At 42.4% G+C, this 22,061-nt stretch overlaps 1 pseudogene, besides 7 other annotated features; it reads right to left on the bottom strand.

Moving 5' to 3' along the window:
* Positions 4,608-4,807: an enhancer, noted in NCBI's record as "active region_22874". NCBI's record gives its function as "activates an Ori minimal core promoter by ATAC-STARR-seq in GM12878 lymphoblastoid cells {active_cell/tissue: GM12878}" and the evidence as "EXISTENCE:reporter gene assay evidence [ECO:0000049][PMID:35858748]".
* Positions 5,525-5,624: an enhancer, noted in NCBI's record as "active region_22873". NCBI's record gives its function as "activates an Ori minimal core promoter by ATAC-STARR-seq in GM12878 lymphoblastoid cells {active_cell/tissue: GM12878}" and the evidence as "EXISTENCE:reporter gene assay evidence [ECO:0000049][PMID:35858748]".
* Positions 5,725-5,834: an enhancer, noted in NCBI's record as "active region_22872". NCBI's record gives its function as "activates an Ori minimal core promoter by ATAC-STARR-seq in GM12878 lymphoblastoid cells {active_cell/tissue: GM12878}" and the evidence as "EXISTENCE:reporter gene assay evidence [ECO:0000049][PMID:35858748]".
* On the bottom strand, positions 7,367-7,662 carry RN7SKP122 (RN7SK pseudogene 122; annotated as a pseudogene).
* Positions 8,193-8,714: an enhancer, noted in NCBI's record as "OCT4-NANOG hESC enhancer chr5:107145278-107145799 (GRCh37/hg19 assembly coordinates)". NCBI's record gives its function as "activates a minimal SCP1, AML or CMV promoter by ChIP-STARR-seq in naive H9 embryonic stem cells {active_cell/tissue: H9 hESC(naive)}" and the evidence as "EXISTENCE:reporter gene assay evidence [ECO:0000049][PMID:30033119]".
* Positions 8,715-9,237: an enhancer, noted in NCBI's record as "OCT4-NANOG-H3K4me1 hESC enhancer chr5:107144755-107145277 (GRCh37/hg19 assembly coordinates)". NCBI's record gives its function as "activates a minimal SCP1, AML or CMV promoter by ChIP-STARR-seq in naive H9 embryonic stem cells {active_cell/tissue: H9 hESC(naive)}" and the evidence as "EXISTENCE:reporter gene assay evidence [ECO:0000049][PMID:30033119]".
* Positions 9,238-9,759: an enhancer, noted in NCBI's record as "NANOG-H3K27ac-H3K4me1 hESC enhancer chr5:107144233-107144754 (GRCh37/hg19 assembly coordinates)". NCBI's record gives its function as "activates a minimal SCP1, AML or CMV promoter by ChIP-STARR-seq in naive H9 embryonic stem cells {active_cell/tissue: H9 hESC(naive)}" and the evidence as "EXISTENCE:reporter gene assay evidence [ECO:0000049][PMID:30033119]".
* Positions 18,765-18,824: a silencer, noted in NCBI's record as "silent region_16217". NCBI's record gives its function as "represses an Ori minimal core promoter by ATAC-STARR-seq in GM12878 lymphoblastoid cells {active_cell/tissue: GM12878}" and the evidence as "EXISTENCE:reporter gene assay evidence [ECO:0000049][PMID:35858748]".

Genomic DNA, 22,061 nt, shown 5'->3' with positions numbered 1-22,061 from the left:
ACATATATACAAAATTTGAATTTATTTTCATCAAAATGTAAATTAATGCTTAAAAATAAATTAAAAGTGTCATATGTTTTCTAAACCAATTTTCTTTAACAGAAAGTAGAATGTGGTTGCCAGGAGCGTGGGGGAGGGAGAGGAGTTGTTGTTCGAGGGGTATAGAGTTTCAGTTTTGTGAGATGAAAAAGTTCTAGAGATCTGTTGTATAGCAAGGTGCATATAGTTACCACTATACCTTAAAAAGTACTATATGCTTAAAAATGATTAAGATGGTAAATTTTATGCTATGTGTTTTTTACCACAATATGAAAAATTTTCTTTTGAAATATTCAAAATGATCTCTTAAAATTAAAAGGCAAAATATAAATTATAATTAATAAATGTCAATTTTTAAAATAAAGAATATTCTAATAAAGTCCAGATATTTAGTTTTGTAAACATGTACATTTTTATTTTAAAAAGCCCTGCAGCTCTAGCATTGAATGTCTATCTAGCTGTCTGTAAAGAATCAGTATCATGCTTCACTCACGTTGCATACAGACCTATGTATAGATACACACTTCAGAGTGATTTCCATTAGCAGCTATGTGTAACTGTTGGGACTGTCATGTTAATATGTTGTGTACCTTTGGGACCCCCAATTGGAGAAAGAAGAGAAGCAAGCAAATGGACATTTGGCACCACAGGGAAACGGTGCTTTGTTATGCAAGAATCCACAGCATTCATGCTTTGTGAGAGGAAGAATATGACAAGTTAATTAATTTGTCCTTGTTCTTACCTAAGCACTTCTGCTGATGAAATCCTCCCTGTATTCTGAGGCGGAGTCCATCCCCTCCATCTCCCACCTTAGCAGATGACACCCCATATAGCTTCATGGCATTTGGATGTAGTCACCATTTGTTTTGAGGACCTAGGGCAAGAGATGTGAACAAGTGTTTCCCTGGGGTTTAAGGGCGTTGTTCAGGAGAATGGATGTTTAGAATTACAGATAGCCATGTGCTCCCATTGAACTTAGGATCTAGAGTGATCGAGGGGTCCACAGAATTGCCAGGTAAATAAAACAGAGCATCTCCTGGGCTTCCCCACCTCCATCTCTGGAGCTCCTTCCTTTCCTTTCACAGCACTGGGAATCCAAAACTTTCCATTGACAGCTCACTGTGGCACGCCTCTTATTAAGGCCACGTGCCTTCTTCCTTTCCCTTTACTTTCCCCTCATTCTTACCCCACAGCAGAATTTCTACTACTTTTGGTGCCAAGTTTGGAGTTCACCTACAACTTGCTCTCTCTATAGTAAATATCCCTTTCCTAAGAGTAGACCACTTAAGCAGGTTCCTTTCCAGATTATATTCTTGAGTTTGATCAGTGCCTTCTGGATCCAACACCTTTTCCCAGAAGATCAACTTCAGTAATCAGAATTCAGGTCACAATAGCCTGAACATATGGGACTGGTGGGTGGACCTTAGCATCGCCAAAACCTTTTTATTAAAATGTCACAATTGTGAACTCATTTTTCCCCAAATATTTTTCATTCAGTAACCACTTTTCCATTATTTTTGGTCTTATTCTAATCTCATTTTCAAGGGTCAGAGTGATGTTTGCTTTTAACGTACCACCAGAAATCTCCCTGTGTTTGGTGTTCATTCCTGCTTAACGGTTGATTCTTCAGAGATGTAAAGAAAATTAAGAAACTGGTTGGTTCTTTGATTAGCCCCTGAATTCTAATTCATTAATTTGATAAATTACACTTTAAAGTAGTCTAGAGCATGATACGTCACATGTTCTTTAAAGTCAGGCTTTGCAAGAAACCCTACCTCACATGCCAGTGACCTTACGTGACAGCAATAGCCATATTAGTGATTGTTGAAAATGCCATTTAAGGATGGCAAGAAAACTAAAATCCTTATGAAAGGCAGTGAAAGTTAATTTCCATAGACACTTTTCAAAATTAAATAGTTGAGACACCTTACATTTTTCTCATAATTCTAAAAATAATTAGATCACAATGTGGATTAATTTCTTGTCACATTTAATTTTTTAGACAAAAGCTGTTGTTCGATTATGAGCATCACAAAGAAAAAAAATCCCCAAATGATACCATTCAGACAGTGTTACTTCCCATTTTTGCCCTTGCATTTTGCTCTAAGAACTAAAGTTGAGGCATCCTAGAATTAGTATTGCAGACCAAGATGAGATATGTAGTCTGAGTCTTATTTTCTAAAAAAATAATAAGGCCATTAAACAATCAAATTGTTGATTAAGAAAGAAATCTTCACATTAACTCCTCACGACATTTCAGGTGATAGATTTGACTGTTCAAAAATCTTATTCTCAATGCCAAAAATATAAAAAATTATACATATAGTATCCTGGCAGCCATAATGGGCTATTACCCCAGGATACGCTGGTTGCCAGGATCTTTGACTCTACATTAAGAAAGATCTAGACTCTCACTCCAGCTTCACCATTCACTCCCTGAGTGACATTGAGTAAGCGCCTTCGCCCCTCTGAGGCTTGGTTGATTTGTCTGTAAAACCGTGAGGATGAAATGAATGCATGTAGAGTGCTTAGCACAGGTTGAAGTTCAGTTCATTTTAGAAAGCTACACCGAGGAAGCCATTCCGACTTTCAGAACATCACAAATTACTGTCCATGTGGTGTCAAAGTAAGACTTAAGGGTAACAGAATAGCTTTGAGATGGAGAAAGAATCAGACTTGCTGGGGACCATTTGAATTCCCAGGCCCCCAGGTTTTGGGACACTTCTGACTTAAGCTTGTGGAGACAGCCTTAGTTAATGTCATCACCTCAATGTCCTAGGAACTAGCCCAGCACCTGGCCTCTCGCCTGTCGTGGAGAAGCTCCTGAGAACAGGACCTAGGTCAAGGCAGCACCCAGGAAGCCTGCGGGTTTGCTGGAAGGCCCTGCTGTGGAGGGGATGCCTGAGGAAACGTTCAACAGCTTCAGCTCAGCAGTGAGCGGCTGGAAGACCAGTCCACGTGGGCGGGCAGCATCTGTTAAGGATGTCCAGACTCATTCACTCGCTAAAATACTCCCTGAACAGCTGAAGCAGAGGCGATCTAGCAGTGATGCCAGAAATCTGGGTCCCGTAAGCTTAAATGGGAGAAAGGATCTCCCCACATCCCTGCCCCCAGAGCCACCACTTTCTCTGCCTTCCTTATTCTGGGCCACTCTGGTTCCTCTTCTGCCACCAGACCTGCCACATGGCCTCTCCCAGACTCAACAGTCAGACTACCAGAGTTCAAGCCCCACTCCACCACTCATTAGCATTTGGCAAGTCACTTAATCCTTTGAGTCTCCGTTTACTCATCTGTAAAATGGGATTAATTAATATTACTTATTTCACAAGTGGTTGTTGAGGATTAAATGGTAGAATACAAAATTCTCAATAAACATTAGCTCTGATAATCCTTCAAGAAACAGTTACTTCCTGAGTGTCTAGTGCGTGCCCAGCAGGGTGCTGGAAACAGGGGATTCAACAGAGAGCAAAGCCAATCTGCGGATTGTGCTCTAGGAGAAGAGAACAGATGTCAATTAACAACCATACAGTGACAATGGTAGTATGCAGAAAAGGTTCACAGTTCCATCAGAATATGTAATAAAGGGCTGGGGAAGGTGTCCCTGAGAGTGTGATGATTTGGCTGACCTCAGAAGAAAGCATACTCAGCTTCTGTCCAGCCCTGTCTGCCAAATCCCTGCTGGGCCCCACTAAATCCTCAAAGACTGAGGCTGCCCCTCCCCAGCCTCAGGACTCAAGCCCTGATCTTTCCCAAAGGAAACCACTAACTATCTCTGGTGGTCTGTGTCCTCCATGCCCTCTGGCTTCAGCACTGCCGGTGAAATATCCAGATGGTGGTGTTAACCCTGGAGGGGGTCCAGGTCCAGCACTGCCAGGGCAGAACTTTGGAACACTTTGTGCAGGGTCCCTCAGTGGCAGCTACAACTATGCACTTCCTGTGAAATGTGCGGGCATGTTGGGAAATGCTTGAGGGGTCCATGGTTCAAGGATGACTCTTTGATAGGAGATTTAAACTATGATCTATTTGAACATTCGGATTAGGCCGCGTGTGGTGGGTCATGCCTAATTCCAACACTTTGGGAGGCTGAGGTGGGTGGATCACTTGAGACCAGGAGTTCGAGACCAGCCTGGTCAACATGGAGAAACCCCTTCTCTACTAAAAATACAAAAATTAGCCAGGCTTGACGGCAGGTGCCTATTGTCCCAACTACATGGGAGGCTGAGGCACAAGAATCGCTTGAACCTGGGAGGCAGAGGTTGCAGTGAGCCAACATAGTGCACTGCACTCCAGCCTGGTGATGGAGTGAGACTCTGTCTCAATAAATAAATAAAAATAAACTTTCAGAATAGCCTATGTGAGGAGAACCAAGAAGGGGTGAGTTCTTTAGGTGACAACTGAGATCTGAAATTTCAGCATTAGCTTGTGGTTACTGCACACTTTGTTCAATGGTTTCATTTTCTCATGTCTAAGTCCTCTTCCCCAAGCCGCATGCCCACTCCAGCATGCTTGAGCAGGTCCCCGCCTCCCACACTATACCTGCTATGCCAGGGGGACCTGTCCACTGTTTCTTAGACCTGTGGGAACGTGGGCATCTTCTTGCCTGAACTCCTGCTATTCCTACAGCCTAGATTGTCCTGTGTCCTCTCTGTAGACTTCCACGACTCTCTACCCCAAAAGCAAAATTGACCTTTCCACCTTCTATAACATCTACTGGCCTTCTACTTGTCTGGGCTGATCAAGGCTGGGGATAACTCTGCATTCCCTGTGCCTAGCACATAGTGGGCACTCAATAAGTTCCTGTGAAATTGACTTGACTCTCTCTGCCCATACCTGCAGCTATAATACCCTATCAGCTAGAGCTTCTTCTTTCATGAAAACCAACAATATTTAGAAACAAAGCACCATTTCTGTTTTGTTATCTTCTTATCATGTATTGGCTTCCAAATCTTTAATTGTTTCCTGTATTTTCTTTATCCTAAATCCTACCCTCATTTGAACTCTGAACACATTGTTGGAACTTTGTAAAAGTTAATAATAATACATTTCATCCTATATTTATTTGTCCAAAACTATTTTCGAATATGTACATATATAGTTAGAAGCATCACGGAGTCCCACAGATATTTATAATGTTTGACTCACTCCAGAAAGATTCCTGGGATTTTTGCTGGGTCAGCCATCTGGCCGCTGTACTGTGGGCTGCCTGGTGTCTCACTGTGGTGTCTCCCAACCTTCCATTCCCCTGTTTACTTGGGTGACAGTTTGCTTCAGTGGTCAGATCCAGCCCTCAGCCTGCTTGATCCCTTCTCCCATGGAAGTCAGTCCCTGGCTGGTTTCAGTGGGCATTGTTGAGGTGGCGGCCATATGTCAGAGGTAGGGAGTGGAGAGGAGAGAAGAAGAGAAAAGGGGAGCTCCCAGCTGCATGACTGTCAGGGGCTTCTAGTGGGGGATTCTGACAGAGTCAGGAGGTGAGAGGAGGACCAGCTGCTTAGCAGCTATTTATAAGACTGTCATATGGGGAAGTGTGTCTGGCCGGCAGAAGCGAAGGGGGGTGGCGGACTGAACTGGCTCCTTATTTAGCTTTATGACACACACGCAGCCCAACTGTGAGAACCCACTCTGTGTGGAGACACCTGGTCAAATCTGCCTCCGCCAGACGGTGGGAAAGAACATTGACATTTCTCAATGGAATTGAAAAATGGCAGTGCAATTGGGTTTTCAGTAAGAACAATAAACTTTTTTCCATCTTGCTTTCCTTCCTTGCTGAAACTCTTAGGCCTCCCATCAAATAGACTAGTGTTACCTGCAGCCACTGCCCCAGGGGTGCAGGCTTCCACCAGAGAGCCCTGCAGTGTTAACCAGGAAAGAGCAGAAGTGGAGTTAGACCCTTCTTTCAGCTGGGCAGGAGCAGTCAAAGGCTGGAGATTTCTACAAAACCAGCTAAGCCGTGGGAGACAGAGTGACTGCTGGTTTCCTGGAGTGGAGAGAGGTTAATAGTGTGGTGCATTTGGGGTCTGTATGGGGACCAATGTTATTTAATGTGTTTATTATTGATTTGGAAGAGCGAATGGATACTAAGTTAGTGAAGGCTGTGGAGGGCACTAAGTTATTTCACTTAGTAAACACCACAGAGAGTTGCGGAGAATTCAGGAAGGATTTTCCATGGAGTTAAAGAAATTAGAAATAAAAATGTCTCGTTAGATGATGTACTCTGTCCCACTGGGCCAGCAGAGAATTGTTGCCGACAAGAGAAAATATTTCCTAGAGTTTAATTCAACCTCAGTTTTTAAATGCCTTCAATGTGCTCACCTTCTTTCTGGGAATATGGAAGTTCTGTCTGTTTCCTAATGCCTGTCTCAAGTTTTTCTTTTTAAATTCCTCCTATTATGCCTCACAGTTATACCACAGGGATGGGCTCTCTTTGTGGCTTCTCAGTATTTCATTTTCTGTACAACACCATGAAGGCAGGCCATTAACATTTCTTCTAGCCAATTCTGCTCCAAAGTAGTTCTTTCATCTTTTCTTAAACTGTTTTGTCATTATTCGTTCTTCCTAGTTCCCAAATCCTGGTAGCTGCCATCAGCCCCCTTTCAGATTCAGAAAGTAGTCTGATTCCTAGACCTGGTAGATTGTCCTGATGGCCCCAAAGGGAAGAATATTATAGAAATACAGAAATAGTAGTTAGACATTTACCTATTCACATGTCTGTCCAATAACATGGCCTGTGGTTGAAGCTCAAAGTCGTAAAAATCATGTTTGTCAAGTGATCGTATTGAAAACCCATTTCCAACTTGCCATCAGGCTCATTACCAGCATTCTTGAGTTCCAAGTATTGACCCCTAGCTCTAACTATTTGTGTTTCAGCCCTACTATCCCCCAGCAAACTGTTTTGCTGCTTTCAATTTCCAGAACAGGGAGTTACAGGCTCCAGTGAAGCTGTATGGAGCATTTCTTGTTGTTTAAAATATTCTTGAACATGCCGAGAGATGGAGCAGCTTGATGAGAGATGGCTCTTTACATAAATGTAAAATGAAAAACTTAATTGGCGCTTCTCATCCCGATTGTTTAACAAAATCAGGAACATGGATGAACATGATTTAAGGATGAAGTGTAATTTGTATACAGCCAAGACAATGGAGGAGGACCCCAATATTTTACCCAATTTTCAATAACGTTTTTCTTCCCCATGGTAGTATCTTCTCACTTGCACTCCTTTTGCTGTTGTTTAAAAACCACCTATTTATTCCCTACTCCAATGAGTTTGGATGAGGAAGAGATAACATAGCTCCAGCAACTCACCCTTGAGTAGGACAGTCAAAAAAATACTGAACAAATGTAAATAAAAGAACTACCACATTCTTAGTAGTTGCAGTTCGATGACAAGTGGAACCTGCCAACTTGTTTAAAATGTGTAGTAGGAGAGCTAGCCTCACTTACGTCTCTTATCAAAAATCAGATATCCTCTCCCTGGCAATGTGCCCTCTCGGCTCAAGTGTGCAGGCTTGGGAGGTGACATACAAGTAGCTTTGGGGCAAAAATAGGGTTCTAGCCCAGCCAGCAAGCTGAGCTCAATCAATGCTGGTAAGCATGGAGTGACAGACGTTGCAGCCAGATTATTCTTACATCAAATATGAATAAAGAAAACCATTGTCATGAGCAAATTTATTTATGGGTTAATAATAGAAAACAAGTGACTTCTTATCTTTTTCAGTACTTCCCGATGTGAATTCTTATGTCTATTTCTGCAGGATGCTCTGGTGGTGCTGTGACATGCCACCTGCACCCTCCTCCTTCAGGACAGACGTTCTCATTCCCATCCTCATTCCTCAGCTTCTGGGAGTTGGGTGAAGGTGGTGACTGGCAGCTATCAGCTGACCCACTCTCCAGGAATTGGCCTAAGGTTGGTCACTACTACTTGCCCCAAGACACATCTTCTCCTGGGGGCAGCCAATGACTGGCCCATTTCACCCCAACAATGGTTTATCTGAGAGCACTCCCTAGCAAATTTCCTATACTCTCCTTTTCAGAATCTGTGACCTAAGATAGATATACAGGACAGGAATTATTGCCTCCTTTACAAAAATAGAGAAATGGAAGCTCAGAGCAGTCACATCTTCCCTTTAATAGCACTTACCGTATTTTATTGTTTATTTATAACTCCCTCCCACTACAATGAGAAACCGCCAGAATCACTGAAACACTTTCTCAAAATTCACATGCTCGAGTGGTGCCCTGAAGATGCTATGCAGCTCTACTAAGGCCTGGCTGGGGTCTCAGTGAGAGCATTTTGAAAAGCTTCCCAGGTGATCATGAGGAATGTCCTGGTTTGAGAACATATGGGAAGAAGGGCCCAGTGCTCCTTGCACATCATTTTATCCCCAGCACCTAGGACAATGCCTGGCATATGGTAGCACTCAATAAATGTTGAATTAGTGAATGAATTCCCTAAGATCACACGCTGGTTCATAACAAAGCCCTGGAACTCCTGGCTCATTGCTTTCACTGCTGGAGGTATTAAAAGAAACAAAACTTTCTTAGCAATATCTTAATCATCACTCCTTTGGCAATTGTTTATTTAACTTCTTAAAATTCCTCCCAGCAATGGCAACAAAAATAAAACCACACACAAAAAAAGCTGCATACAAATGGGCTCTCTTAATGATTTTACCACCAAAGTATATCGTACAATCTTCACTGCCATCCCCCACTTTGGAGTCATCTGTGCTAGAAAGATGATGGATACACATATTAGTCTCTGGTTGTAATGAACACATCCATTATAAAAGCAATAGTAACTGCAACAGGGATTATGTGCTTGGTGAAAACATCTCCAGTGCCTTGTAAACACCTCAGCCTTCTGGCAGCCCCCCTGTGGGCCTATTTACTGCCTCTACGTTGCAAGGTAGCTACTGTCTAATTATACACAACTGGCTTGGTTAATCCTGCATAATAATAATTAAAAACAATTCATATTTTTTTCTTTTACTCTCTTTATTAACTTTAAACTTTTAAAGCCTCAGAGGTCCCTGTAGAATCAAAAGCTTATTAAAATATCAAGACATGCGAGCCTTTTCAAGTGCATATTATTACATTTGTTTTTGTTAACATGACAAGGCCCAAAAGAAACTCAGCAGATTTTTGTAGATCAAAGCAAAGGCACTGTGAGAGAAACTGGACCACCTGTGCCGTGTCACCCATAGTCATGAAGAAAACAGCAGGCCCCGAGGAGCCTCCCTCAGCAGCAGCCCAGATGGGCGGGGCAATGTCGGGGGAGAGAGGACACAGCAGGGAGAGCTGCTCCACCTGACTGCATGGAGCCTGTGGCATTTGGGCGGTCCTTAGGGAGGCCCCCTGGACTCCAGGGCTTTTGGTTACCTTGGTTACCCGGCTCTGTAGCTCTGGTGTCAGACCTAGCCTGTAGACAGGAGGATTGGAGAAAAAGTGGGGAAGGGAGGAGGAGGCGGCACTGTTCCAAGCCCTGGGCTGCTGGAAGACTCAAAGTGAACCAGGTGAAGGAGGTGTCTGGTTGGCTTGTGGGAAAATAAAACAGTAAGTCTTACCTACTTACATAAACCCATGTGCACACTCTGGGAGCACACATGCAATGAACACTAAATCCTGTCCATGGGCCACAGGGAAAGCAGTGGGCCTGGCCTCCAGGCTGCACACTTGAGGCTGCCCTTCCTTGATTTCTTTCCCCTTCTGGAAACTGCTCTTTGCCTTATTTCACCTCAACGCTGGGAGAGTTGGGACAGTTGTGTATGTGGTGTGATTGGGCTGCTGGCTTCCCCAGGGTGGCCTCAGGCCCTGAAGGCTCTCAGATTAGACCAGGTAAGCCTCGTTACTAAGTTCCCAAGTGGACCCTTCATATTCCCTAACCAAGGAAGAAATCCACACATTCTATGGAGCAACAGAGCATTAGCATGAAATGGTTGGAGTGGTGGGGAAAGGAAAGATTCCCTTGCTTATCCATTCCAACTAATGAGCACTAAATATTTTAATTGGTCTCAAGAAGCAGAGGAGAGTGTGGATCTATACAGGCCACACAGAGGCAATTATTTATTCTAGCAAAAAAGTATCTATTGAGCCCCTTCTGGGGTCAGGCACTGGGCTTAGATGTTTTGCAAATTTGTAACCTCCTATTTAAGGTAGAGAATTGTATGCTACTCAAATTCAAGTACCTAGTACAATCACTACACTTAGTATGTATTTATTAAATGGGTTAACTCATTTATAATCCTCACAGCAACCTCACATGAAGAATTAATATTCCCATTTAGCTGATGCAGAAAGTGAAGCTAGGGAATTCACCTGAATCCCTGCTTCACACACATTCTTCTCTTGGCTATCAGGGCACCACACTTCCTTGGTTTCCATCCTACCTTCCCCTCGCTGGTTCTTCCTTTTCTCCCTGATCTCTTCATTTTAGCGTGCCCTCTTCTCTAAATTTACTCCCTTGGTGATCTCACTGAATCCTATGGCTTTAAATACTGACAACAGTCTCATTTATATTTCCAGCCCAGACGTCTCTCCCACACTCCAGACTTGTATATCCAACTGCCGCTCTGCATCTATCATCTCTGTTTGGAGGTCTATTGGATATTTCAATCTCACTGTGTCAAAAATTAAACTCCTCATATTCCCTCACGTGCTGCATTCCCCAGCTCAGCACTGACAACTCCACCCTTTTTGTTGCTCAGGCCAAAACCATGGCACTATCCCTGACTGCTCTCTTTCTCTTAAACCCTATCCATCCTCTATCTTCAAAATAGACCCGGTTTGGGACCTCTTGTACATCCTCCAGCATTGATATCCTGGCCTGAACCTCTCTTATCTCTTGCCCAAATGACTGCAGCAGCTGATGGGTCTCCCTGCCTCTATCCTTGGCCCCCTAATGCTGTAACTAGATCCTGCCACTCTGCTCAAAACCCTACAATGCACCCCATTTTACTCAGAGGGAAAAAACGGCAAAATCTTTAACAGTCTTACAGGGCCCAACATGACTTACTGCCCTCTCTTACGGGTGAGATTTTATCTTTAATTATCCCCTCACTCCCTGAGATCCAGCCACCCTGGCTCTTGCCCTTGTTCTAGCTGTTTCCTCTGCCTAAAATACTTTTCCTCCAAAAATTCACAAGGTTCACATACCTTAAATCTTTGTGCTAATCACACTTTCTCAATGAGCCTCTGGGACAGTGCTACTTAGTCAATTGAGATAAATACAAAAATAAAAATGTGTAAAACTTTTCCAGTAACTTGACATTCCCCTGACATCCACGCATGTGGCTCTGGAGCAAGGGGTAGGCCAATCCAGGTATTGTTGCACTTGAGGGTGAGTCATATGTGGTGTGAGTTTACACACTAGTCATCCAGAGTAGAACTGTAAACTAAGTCCACAACAGATTGGAATTTAAAAAACTAGTTCTCTGCCATCATGAGTCTGAGAAGAATTAACTTCTAGAGAGCACATGGCTGTTGAGGAGGTTGTTTAATGTTAAATTGGGACTTGGAGATTGGGGAAGAATTTTCTCCATTGTCTCCAGTCCACCTGACACTTTCATGCTCATACAAATTCATTCCTCCTTTCTTCTCTCAATCTATCGAGGACGTTTATTGTCTTTCTCCCCTAGAAAGTTGTGTGCGATCCACTCTGTTAACTTGGTGAGGGAAGGGGGGAGAGGTAGAACTATAGAGACAAAGAACACAGCTGCTGATCGTGACAGCTGCTGCTTCTGTTACTGAAACTGGGAATTAACTGAATTGGAGAGATTGGATAGAATTAGCAAGCTGTTGGATGGATCCTCTGGGAATAGGTTCCCAGAGAGCTGGTAGGGATGGAGGTTTGGGGAGGAGGGATGAGGTGGGAAGCTCCCTGAAGAGCCTGTGGGTGAGCATTCGCCCTGGTGCAGCTGGAGCTGCAATGAGCTCTCTCTTGAGCTGAGGGGGCTCAGTTTCCCCAGCTTTGCCCCTTATCAGAATCATTACCTACCCCCCACCCCCGAGAGCACACATTTTCCTCCTTTTCTTTCTATCACCTGTGGCAAAGTAGTTATCTTGATCAGGGAAGCATGAAGGGCTCTGACATTTTAATTATCATCTGTCTCCTTGAACAACAAGAATAAGAGGAAAAACAAATCCCCTAAGAATTACCTGCTGGAGGGTTTTGCCAGGTCTCATTTTACCCTAACTCTCTTTATCTAGTTAAGCAGGATCTGGACTGAGAGTTACAGAAAAGAGGACCTATGAAAATGCAACACCATGGCAGCCAGCAGAGTGGAGTTCAGATGGGCTCCAGGAGGCGGGGCCAGGCAGTATGAAGAGGACTGCACCGTCCTGGATCTGTTACTTAGCACTTCTATGAATCGTAAGCAAGTTACATAATTTCTCTTTGCCTCTGCTAATCTGAAAATGGGGCTAATACTAATGCTACTAGATTGATGTGTGGATTATATACCCAAAAGCTATATAAGGCCCTGAACACAGACTCAGATCTCTCATAGTGCTCAAATAGTAGGTAGTGGTGGCAGGTGCTTTTGGTGAATAATGTTAATGTGAATTTTACAAATTTCTGTGTCCCTTTTTTCACTTTTACTCTCTGTTTCACTGTGGAAGACAAAATAAGCCCCTCCCCCCAAGGTGTCCTCTTACTAATCCCTGAAACCTGTTCATATAATTTGGATATTTGTTCCCTTCAATTCTCATGTTGAAATGTGACCCCCAATGTTGGAGGTGGGCCTAGTGGGATGCATTTGTGTCGTGGGGAAGGATACCTCATGAATGGCGTGCTGCCCTCCCCGAGGTAATCAGTGAGTTCTTGCTCTATTAGTTCACACAATGGCTGATTGTTAAAAAGAGCCAGGCACCTCCCCCTTTCTCTTGCTCCCGCTCTTGCCATGTGATATGCCAACTCCTCCTTCCTATTCTGCGTAATTGTAAGCTTCCTAAGGTCCTGCCAGAAGCAGATGTTGACACTATGCTTCTTGTACAGCCCACAGAACTGTGAGCCAAATGAACCTCTTTTCTTTATAAATGACCTAGTCTCAGGCATTCCTTTCTAGCAATGCAAGTGGACGAAGACACCTGGAGATCTGTTATGTTACATAGTAAAGAGGAGTGAAGGTTGCAGATGTAATTAAGATTGCTCAAGGCAGAGGTTGCAGTGAGCTGAGATTGCGCCACTGCACTCCAGCCTTGGAGACAGAGCGAGACCCCATCTCAAAAAAAAAAAAAAAAAAAGATTGCTAATCAGCTGAATTTATCGTGGATTATCCAGGTAGGCCCAATGTAATCACAGGGTCATTAAAAGCAAAAGAAAAAGGCAGAAGAGAAGGTCAGAGTGATGCAATGTCAAGTCTCACCCTCTGTTGCTGGCTTTGAAGATGGAGGAAGGAGGCTACAAAGCAGAGGATGTGGGCAGCCTCTAGAAGCTAGAAAAGGAAAAGAAAGGTATTATTCCCTAGAGCCTCCATAAGGAATGTAATCCTGCCAATGTCTTGATTTTAGTCCCATGAAACCCTTTCAGACTCTGACCTCCAGAACTGTAGAATAAATTTGTGTTGTTTTAAGCCAGTAATTTTGTGGTCACTTGTTACAGCAATAGGAAACTAAAATTTATCTCACTCTATTTGGTATGTATAGATCTCCAAGAAGGCAAAGTTCTTATTTAATAGTCTTTTAATGTTGAGCGCATGCTCACTGTGTTCCTGGTATTTATAAAGTGTTGTTCTAAGGTTTTGGGGAGAGTGGAAGGAATGTAAAACTGTCTGTGAGGACTTACCATCTAATTGGAGAAAATAGACACGTACATATGAAATCCATGACACAAAGTAGTTTAAGAAGGGGGCATTCACTGTGGGGCTGTGAGTTGGAAGGGATGGCTAGGATTGGGTTTGGCACTCATATGAAATAATCATGTATGTTTCATCATGTATGTATGAAAGGATGCAGCCAGACTTTGTGCCTTTGTGATTGGTAAAGACAGACAGCAGTGCAGAAGTGAGGATGTGTCCTAACTCAATTGCTTCTCAGATGGCAACCCTAGGACACATCACTGTAACTTCTTCATTGGTAAAATGTAGAAAGGACTCAGAGGATTTTTATAAGGATTAAGTGAGACATGACCTATGAAAGTACTTTGTAGAGTATAAAGAATACATTAAAATAAGCTTTTCTTCCCTAATCTCTTTTGTAAAAGTTGATAGTCTATATCCAACTGGCATCCTCAATTCTTAAGCATAAAAGCTGATGCAAGCAACCTCTGGCTTAATCCAGAGACTGCCAGATAAAAACCAGGGGTGCTTTTGGGAAATTGCTAATTACAAACAGACAACTCTTCTTGTATAGACAGGCATCTCTATAAACACCAGAACAGAGCAACTTCTAGAAAACCAATTCTAGGAAATAGAAACCTTTGCTTAGGATCATAGGATAAGCAAGGTGGCAGGAAATGACAGGTCTTTCATAATTCTTTCATGATTCTGTCTAGATAGAAGGGATTGATTTCAGATGTTGGAGCATCAGGGTAGGGTTCACTCTGCATAAAACTCTCTGTGGGTACAAGGATAGGTGGAGAATTAGAGCCTTGGGGTGGTATTGACAAAGAAGTACAGATAAATTCCCAGAGAATGGATCCCAAAGCAGCATCTTGTCTGACACCCATTTCTACTTCTTCCCTGGTCTGAGACCATACAGCTCCATGGGCCAGCAGTCGCTCTCAGACCTTCCCAGTCCCAGCCCACCCCGTAAGCTGCAAATGGGTTGAGGCCTGCAGAAGTTCTTTGCAAACTGGAAAGCAGTGGCTCTCAAAGTTTGATTCTGGACTTGGCAGTGCCAGTAGCACCTGTTAGAAATGAAAATTATTGGCTCCCACCCCGTACCTACTGAGTCAGAAACTCGGGCTGTGGTCCCAGCACTCTGTTTCAATAAGCTCTCCAGGGGATTCTGGTGGCTGCTATAGTTTTAGGACCACTGCCACCCAGTTACAGCATTATTCCTTTCCTGAAGGGTTTTCCAGCATTTCTCCTTCCCTACCTTGGGATGTGTGACACTTTCCTCTGGGCTCCTAGTTAAGGGGACAAACAATCTCAGTATTACCACTAAGAGGCTGTGATCCCAGAAACTCCTTAGTCTGAGGCAAATTTAGATAGTTGATCACTCGAGACAGGATTTCATTCATTAAGAGAGAGCACATCAACCGATGCCCATGGGTCCAGCTGAGCCCATATTTGCAATCTGCAATTTTTAAAAAGGTAATTAAGGGATAAGCATTTAAAAATCAGTAGATTTTACCTAAAAATCAGAATTCCTGGCTCCTCTTACAAAATTGGGCATTCTGGTCACACAGGGCACACATTCCCATATGGAAACGCTAGGGTGGAACAAAAGAGCCCTTCCTCCTTTAGAGATGAGCAGTGCAAGATCTTTAGTCTATGGTCTCTCTCTCTCTCTAGCATCTTTCTTGCTGGCCCCTCTGTCCACTCTCAGTACCACAGCCCCAGTTTAGGCCTTTACTGAGCCTGTTCTGGCCTATTGAAACATCTTCCAATCAGCAGAAGGCTAAGAACATGAGTTTAGCATCAGGCAGAGCTGATTCAACACTGCTTCCATCCATCCATCCACCAATCCATTCATTCATTCATCTATTTGTTCATCTTTGTCTATACCCTACAACAAACCCTTATTAGGCAAAATGTGACAGATACAGATATAGAAAGCATAGCAATTTACGTAACCAACTGTGTCTGATCTTTCTCCTCTGTAACTTAAATGAGAATCCTAGCAACCTGTTCATAGAGCTGTGAAGATAAGATGAAATCATAGATTAAAAGCCATACCAAAGGCCTGACACACCAGGAAATGCTGGTTCCTTTTCACATTATGTCTCACCTCTCCAATTCCTCCTGCCACATGTGCCACCATAGCCAGCACTGATCAAGTCACTCTGCAGTTCAAAGACCTCCACAGGGCTCCTGCCATTTATTCAACCAAGTGTCCACTCCTCAGCCTTGTATTGATGGTCTTCCCCTGTGCTTTAGACACACCCTATAAACTCATTGATCCCTACATGCTCTTCCAGTGTTTGTCTCTTCCTCCTGGAACAAATCCCAGGCTCATCTTTCCTGTAAAAACCTTCACAAAATATTTCAGATGTCGATTTCTCCAATAAGTCCTTCTTAATCTTCTTAATTAAACTTGAAAATGGCTCTTTTCATTTTTCATCTATTATATTTTAATGTCTTTTGGAAATATATTATATGTATCCTAGCATCCTTGTAGGACCTGGCACAGGGTAAGAGATATATACGAACCTGTGGGTGGCAAGCACATTCAGAGATTATTGTATTGTGACATGACAAGCACAATGATAAAGAATCATATAGGGCCCTAGGGGTATGAGGACACCAGACTTGTCTTCAGAGGGGCAGGGAAGCCTTCTGGGAGATGAGGACACCTAAGGCTGGGTAGAGTTTTTCCAGCTGAAGGACATTGAGGTACATCCTAGTTTCTATCATCAGGTAGTTCGTTAGGCTATTTCATATATTCATGCCCAAATTAGTGGTTTGGGCTGTGCACTTTCTGAGGATGGAGACAATTCAAATGTCTACCATTGTCAGGAAGGTAACACAAGTGAGTGAGACAGGAAAGATGTGAGGGACGTACACTATAGACTGAAGACTGCTCCTCTCTAAAGGGGCAGGGCTCCTCTGTTGCAGCCTAGCATTTCTGGGCAAGAATGCATGCCCTGTGTGATCAGGTTGTCCAATTTTGTAAGAGGAGCCAGAACTTCTGATTTTTAGGTAAATATCTACTGATTTTTAAATGCTGATCCCTTATTCATCTTTTTAAATAATCCAGATCCCAAATATGGGCTCCGTTGATGAGCTGTCTCTTAACTTCCCATTGGTCTTTTCAGGCCAGTGCTTAATGGGATCCTTCACTACCAGCACTCAGGCTCCCATTGCTCCAGCACCCACTCCACTGAGGCTCTTTCTAGGAATTGATGTGGTTATTTACTGAGCCTCGAGAGGGCTTACTCTGATACCACAAGGATTTGGGAAAGTACAACAGATTTTAGAGCCAAGAGACTATGAGTGGTCTAATTCTCCTTACCACTGATGATAATGATATATTTTTTTCTTGATTGTGACTAATTATATGATTTTTTGTGCATACCTGATAAATGTGTAAGTAATAGGTAACTTAATTTTGATAACATACATTTTAAGAAGAAAGCTATGTTAGAATCATGTTGTAGCAAGAAACACTGTATGAAAAGGTAGTGCTATTACTGAACTTAAAGGTAGAGATATTACTAAGATAAAATTACTCAAATTTTCACCTTTAATCACATTTTGTTTTCAAAGTGACATTATGAGACAATTAAAACTTGCTCTGAAATGTACCCTGCTCTCACCAGATATCTGTGCACAAATATACATACACTCATAAACTTGCACTTGTGCATGAAGAGATCGTGGGTTCTGTTTGCCTGAGATTATTTTCTGCTCTGTGCTACTCTGATTGGCTTTCCTTGAGATCAAAGAAAGCACTCAATACCTCATGTATCTTAAGTGATTAAAATTATCTCATAACAGAAATAGTGCAATTTTCACATTGGTAGCTGTGAATATGAATTAATATCTTTGCAAAGGAGTACAAAAATTTTTATTTAAACAATGTTACATGAGGATGTTTATCCCTATACAATTTTAGATTATGTTTATTGAAATATCAGTCAAAAACTATGTGAGGCTTATGAAAATAAGAGTTGCTTTAAATTCTGGTCTGTTTATTTTTGTCAGAGAAGTTGCTTCTCTACAGAGAATGCTACTGAAAAAAGGGGTGAAAATAGGCCAAGAAGCACCATGAAAATTAACAAAAGCCCAGAATGTTCTTGTTAATAGACATTATCTTCTGTGTTTCCAGAATGTTCTCAAATTAATGTACCTAGTGTTCTATAAAATGCTGTCATTCACTATTTCACTTCATGAAGATTTCTACACAGCAAATATATTCTCATTATTTTAGTGAAATTGTTACTCATGTAACTGATTTGAACTAGTTAAATTCTGTATAGAATAAACATGCAGCTTACTTCGAAGAACAGGGGAAAAACATAGTTCTAAGCCACATTTACTTTCCTCTAGTTTTGAAAGATTTTCCAGCTTTTAAAAAATGAGAATTAGCATAAAGTATTTCCTGGGCATTTCTTAAGGCTGAAAACTAAAGAAAATTGAAATAATGGCCCCTGAGTTTGGCTTCCTTCCTCCATAACCGAAAGCTCTTCCATATGTTTGCTGTCTTACCCCTCCTCACCCTCCACTCAATAACTTTTTGATTTCTAAAGTGACTGATCTTGTCTTCCTGTTTCTCTGTTTTGGCTGTTATTGTCTGAGAACGGTAGGAGATCCAAAGAAATCGCTCTCTGATAGAAGCAAAATATCCCTCCTTGTTGAGATATTGTGCTTTGTGTCAATGAATTAGATCTCTCAGAAGTTGGAGCCTCAAAACATTTACATGGGTAAAGAGTGCATTTTATCATTTGCACCCTGAGGTTTTTAACGCTCCTCAGATTTCCAAAAAGTCAAGGAAAAGATCAGGTTTTTTTGGCTGTGGGCTGCCACAAATGTGGCTCCATGCAAGAGCGATGAGCTAGCACTAGAGCCATTCACGGCCAGACCTCTGCAGGGCTGCTATTATCATTGACAGTAATGCATTGACTGCTTCCTCTTTGCGCTTAGAACAGTGGACGTGTCACTGGGGCAACAGCTCAGACTAAGTCAAGGACAGTGAGTTGATCACGCCCAGGCACCTGGCTCAAATTAGAGCTTGTTGAGGGGCATCTGGGAACCATATTGACTGGACTCACCTCACACCAGAGATGATTTAATCCTGAGAGCCATTTGAGCTCGTTATTTCACCCAGAATCAGGATATGCATTAGATTTTAAAACTCATAGGCTAGCGTGGTGGGTCAAGCCTGTAATCCTAGCTCTTTGGGAGGCCAAGATGGGAGAATCACTTAAGGCCAGAAGTTCAAGACCAGCCTGGGCAACACAGAAAGACCCTGTCTCTAAAATAAATAAACAAATGAATAAAAGCTAAAATAAATAAATAAAATCTAAAATAAATAAATAAATCTCTATCAACTCACTGTGTAAGCTCCTTTGTGAGGGCAAAGACCATCTTTAAAATCTCCATTTCAAGTTTAATTCATACGTCCAAAAGCAAACTATTTAAATCCATTCTGTGGCGTTTTCTGTACCTATTGCTTACTAACTTTTCTAGTCGGTTGATTTTCTTTTCTCCATAGTGTTTATCTGTTGTCCCCCCCTTCCTTTATTTAAAACTGTCCTCAGGAGTGATCTGGAGTCAGTCATTTCTACCTTAGTGAGAATTGGAGTATGTATGTCATTTCTCCCAGATGAATCTATTTATCTATAACAATAAGCACTCCAGGAAAAATTTTAATGATAAGAAGTTCTAACATTCAAACAGGTTGGGAGTGACCTCAGATGTGTGGTAAACATTTCCCCATGCTGTCTTAGTTGGGAGCCTGACATCTTCTTCCCTTGGTGAAATAGATTTAAATGATCAGCCATTAGCATGATTACTCTCCTGCTACATCTGGATAACCTTTTAGAAGTTCTCTGGTATTTCCCACATTCCTCCCTAGGAATCCTCTCCCCTGCAATATACAAGTTAGGTAACTTATGTTCTTGAAAAGTACTGAGAAAAACTTAATGTTAAAGAGGTCTGAAAGTCAAGGAGCTAAGATTCACAAATCTTGTCTCCTGCCTTTATAAAATGTGGGTTGCCATGGTGATAGAAGGATGGGAAGTAGGAAGAGATGAGGATATGTTATAAAACTTTTGTGAACATTTTCTCCTATGAATCCGGCCTGACAATGATATTGCTTGCTTCTCATTGTGTGAGGAAAGATGGTCAGAAACTCACCTGGATACTTTGTCTCATGATCTCTGCCTTCTCTGCTATCCTGGGACATTCATAGGACCAGTGCTGCCAAAGGGCTTGTTTTCTACAGTTGGCATTTGAAGTCTTCTTTCTCATTTTGGAATGGAAGAGTTGGAATTTCAAATCTCATCACGTGTGGGATGATTTTGGTAAGGGCCAAGGAAAAGAGCATACAGTTGAGGTTGAACTGTACACTTGAGTGAGGTAGACCCTGTTGTTGCATCCTCAAGATTCATAGCAAGAGAGGAGAAGAGCACGGTGAGTCTTCCCTTGTCTTTTCCTAAGGAGTTCAGGAATTATGACTTTCAAAATATGTCTCATTTACTAAGCACTCTTAGTTGAGGTCCATGAGGCTCTTATGTAGAGAGATGACCCTTGGTCACCAACTCTTTGACTCTTTCTTTATAGATACTACAGGTTCACAAAAGAAATTCTAAACAAACGGACATTTCCTGACTTGAGAAATTTGGGCCCAGAGACCTCCTTAAGGTCCCTGGCTTCGGAGAGCTGGACTGGATCTCAAGTGGCTTTTGTCCCTTAGGCTCAAGGTCTATGGCTTAAGTCTGTTACACACAAGCTCATACTAGTGTTGGCCCCACAAGCTGTACCAGTCAGAAGGCAATAAAGGGCAGAAAATAATAAACACAAGAGCAAGAGAGAGTGAAATTCTCCCTAAAGTCTAGAGCATGTGGGGTCTGCCACCCACTCCCTATGTCCTGATACCTGGACCCCGTGTTGGACCCACTGGGCTCTCTACAGGGAGAATGAGAGAGAAGCAATTGTCTTCACACATTGGAAGAGGTCTGGCTACTCTCATCATACCAGTTTTGTGAGAGGGGACAAGAGGGACTGAGGGAGAGAGACAGGTGCCTACAGAGAAAATCCAAAGAGACTATTTGTGTAGACAGATGAGCTTTGAACTTTGTTGTCTGCTTATGTCCCAGTGGTACTTGGGACCTAAGGGACTATCAGTACCTGTGGTCTCAATCAACATCGCTACTTGTCTTCTTCCTCCTCGAAGCTCCTCCTGGACTTGGGCAGTTTATAAACCCTAATGCCTATGTGATCCAGGGCAGTAACCTCAATGTGTGAAGGGGGCCAAATAGGGACAATGGGGATAGCTACTGAAATACAGCTGATGACTGCCATGAGAAAATGCATTATCAGATATTCCTTTTTTTTTTTTCAAGTGAAGCTAGGAATTCAGAGTTTATGTGAATCACTTGTTCTTAGAATGCTGGCTCAGTTAAAACAAAACAAAACAAAACCCCACTTTATACCAGATATAGCCAGTAGATGGCCAGTTACCAGTTTTTGCCTTAAGGCTTAGACATTGAAACGTTTTCCAAGGTTTATTTTTTATTTTATTTATTTATTTTTTTGAGACAGAGTCTTACTCTGTCACTGAGGCTGGAGTGCAGTGGTGCAACCTCTGCTTCCCGGGTTCAAGCGATTCTCCTGCCTCAGCCTCCCATGTAGTTGGGATTACAGGCATGTGCCACCATGCCCAGCTAATTTTTGTATTTTTAGTAGAGACAGGGTTTCACCATGTTGGCCAGGCTGGTCTTAAACTCCTGACCTCAGGTGATCCACCTGCCTTGGCCTCCCAAAGTGCTGAGATTACAGATGTGAGCCACAGTGCCTGGCCTCCAAGGTTTATTTTCATGAGTGTTACATGAAAACATATGGTTGGGAAATTCAAGATAGAGAGAGAAACTAATACACAGCAAAGGGAATGCAGTAACTTATACTCTGGGAAACTCAAATATAAATAAAGAAGAGTCTCGAAAGAATATATCCAGACTTCAATTGCTTCTTCGACTTTCATTGCTTATGCCCTGATCTAAGCCACCATCATCTCTTGCTTGGATTACTGCAATGTACTCCTAACTCATCTTCCCGTGTCTATAATTGTCCCCTACAGTTTATTCTCAACATTGCAGCTGGAGGGATCCTTTTGAAACATGTCACATCGTGGCTCTCCTCTGCTCAAAATCCTGCAATGGCTCCCATTTCACTCAGAGCCAAAGGCCAGGGCCTTACAATGGC

The sequence above is a fragment of the Homo sapiens genome, chromosome 5 (genome assembly GCF_000001405.40).
Source record: "Homo sapiens chromosome 5, GRCh38.p14 Primary Assembly".
NCBI lineage: Eukaryota > Metazoa > Chordata > Mammalia > Primates > Hominidae > Homo > Homo sapiens.
Note: the sequence above shows the minus strand (reverse complement) of the source record. Positions and strands in the feature narration are given on the sequence as shown.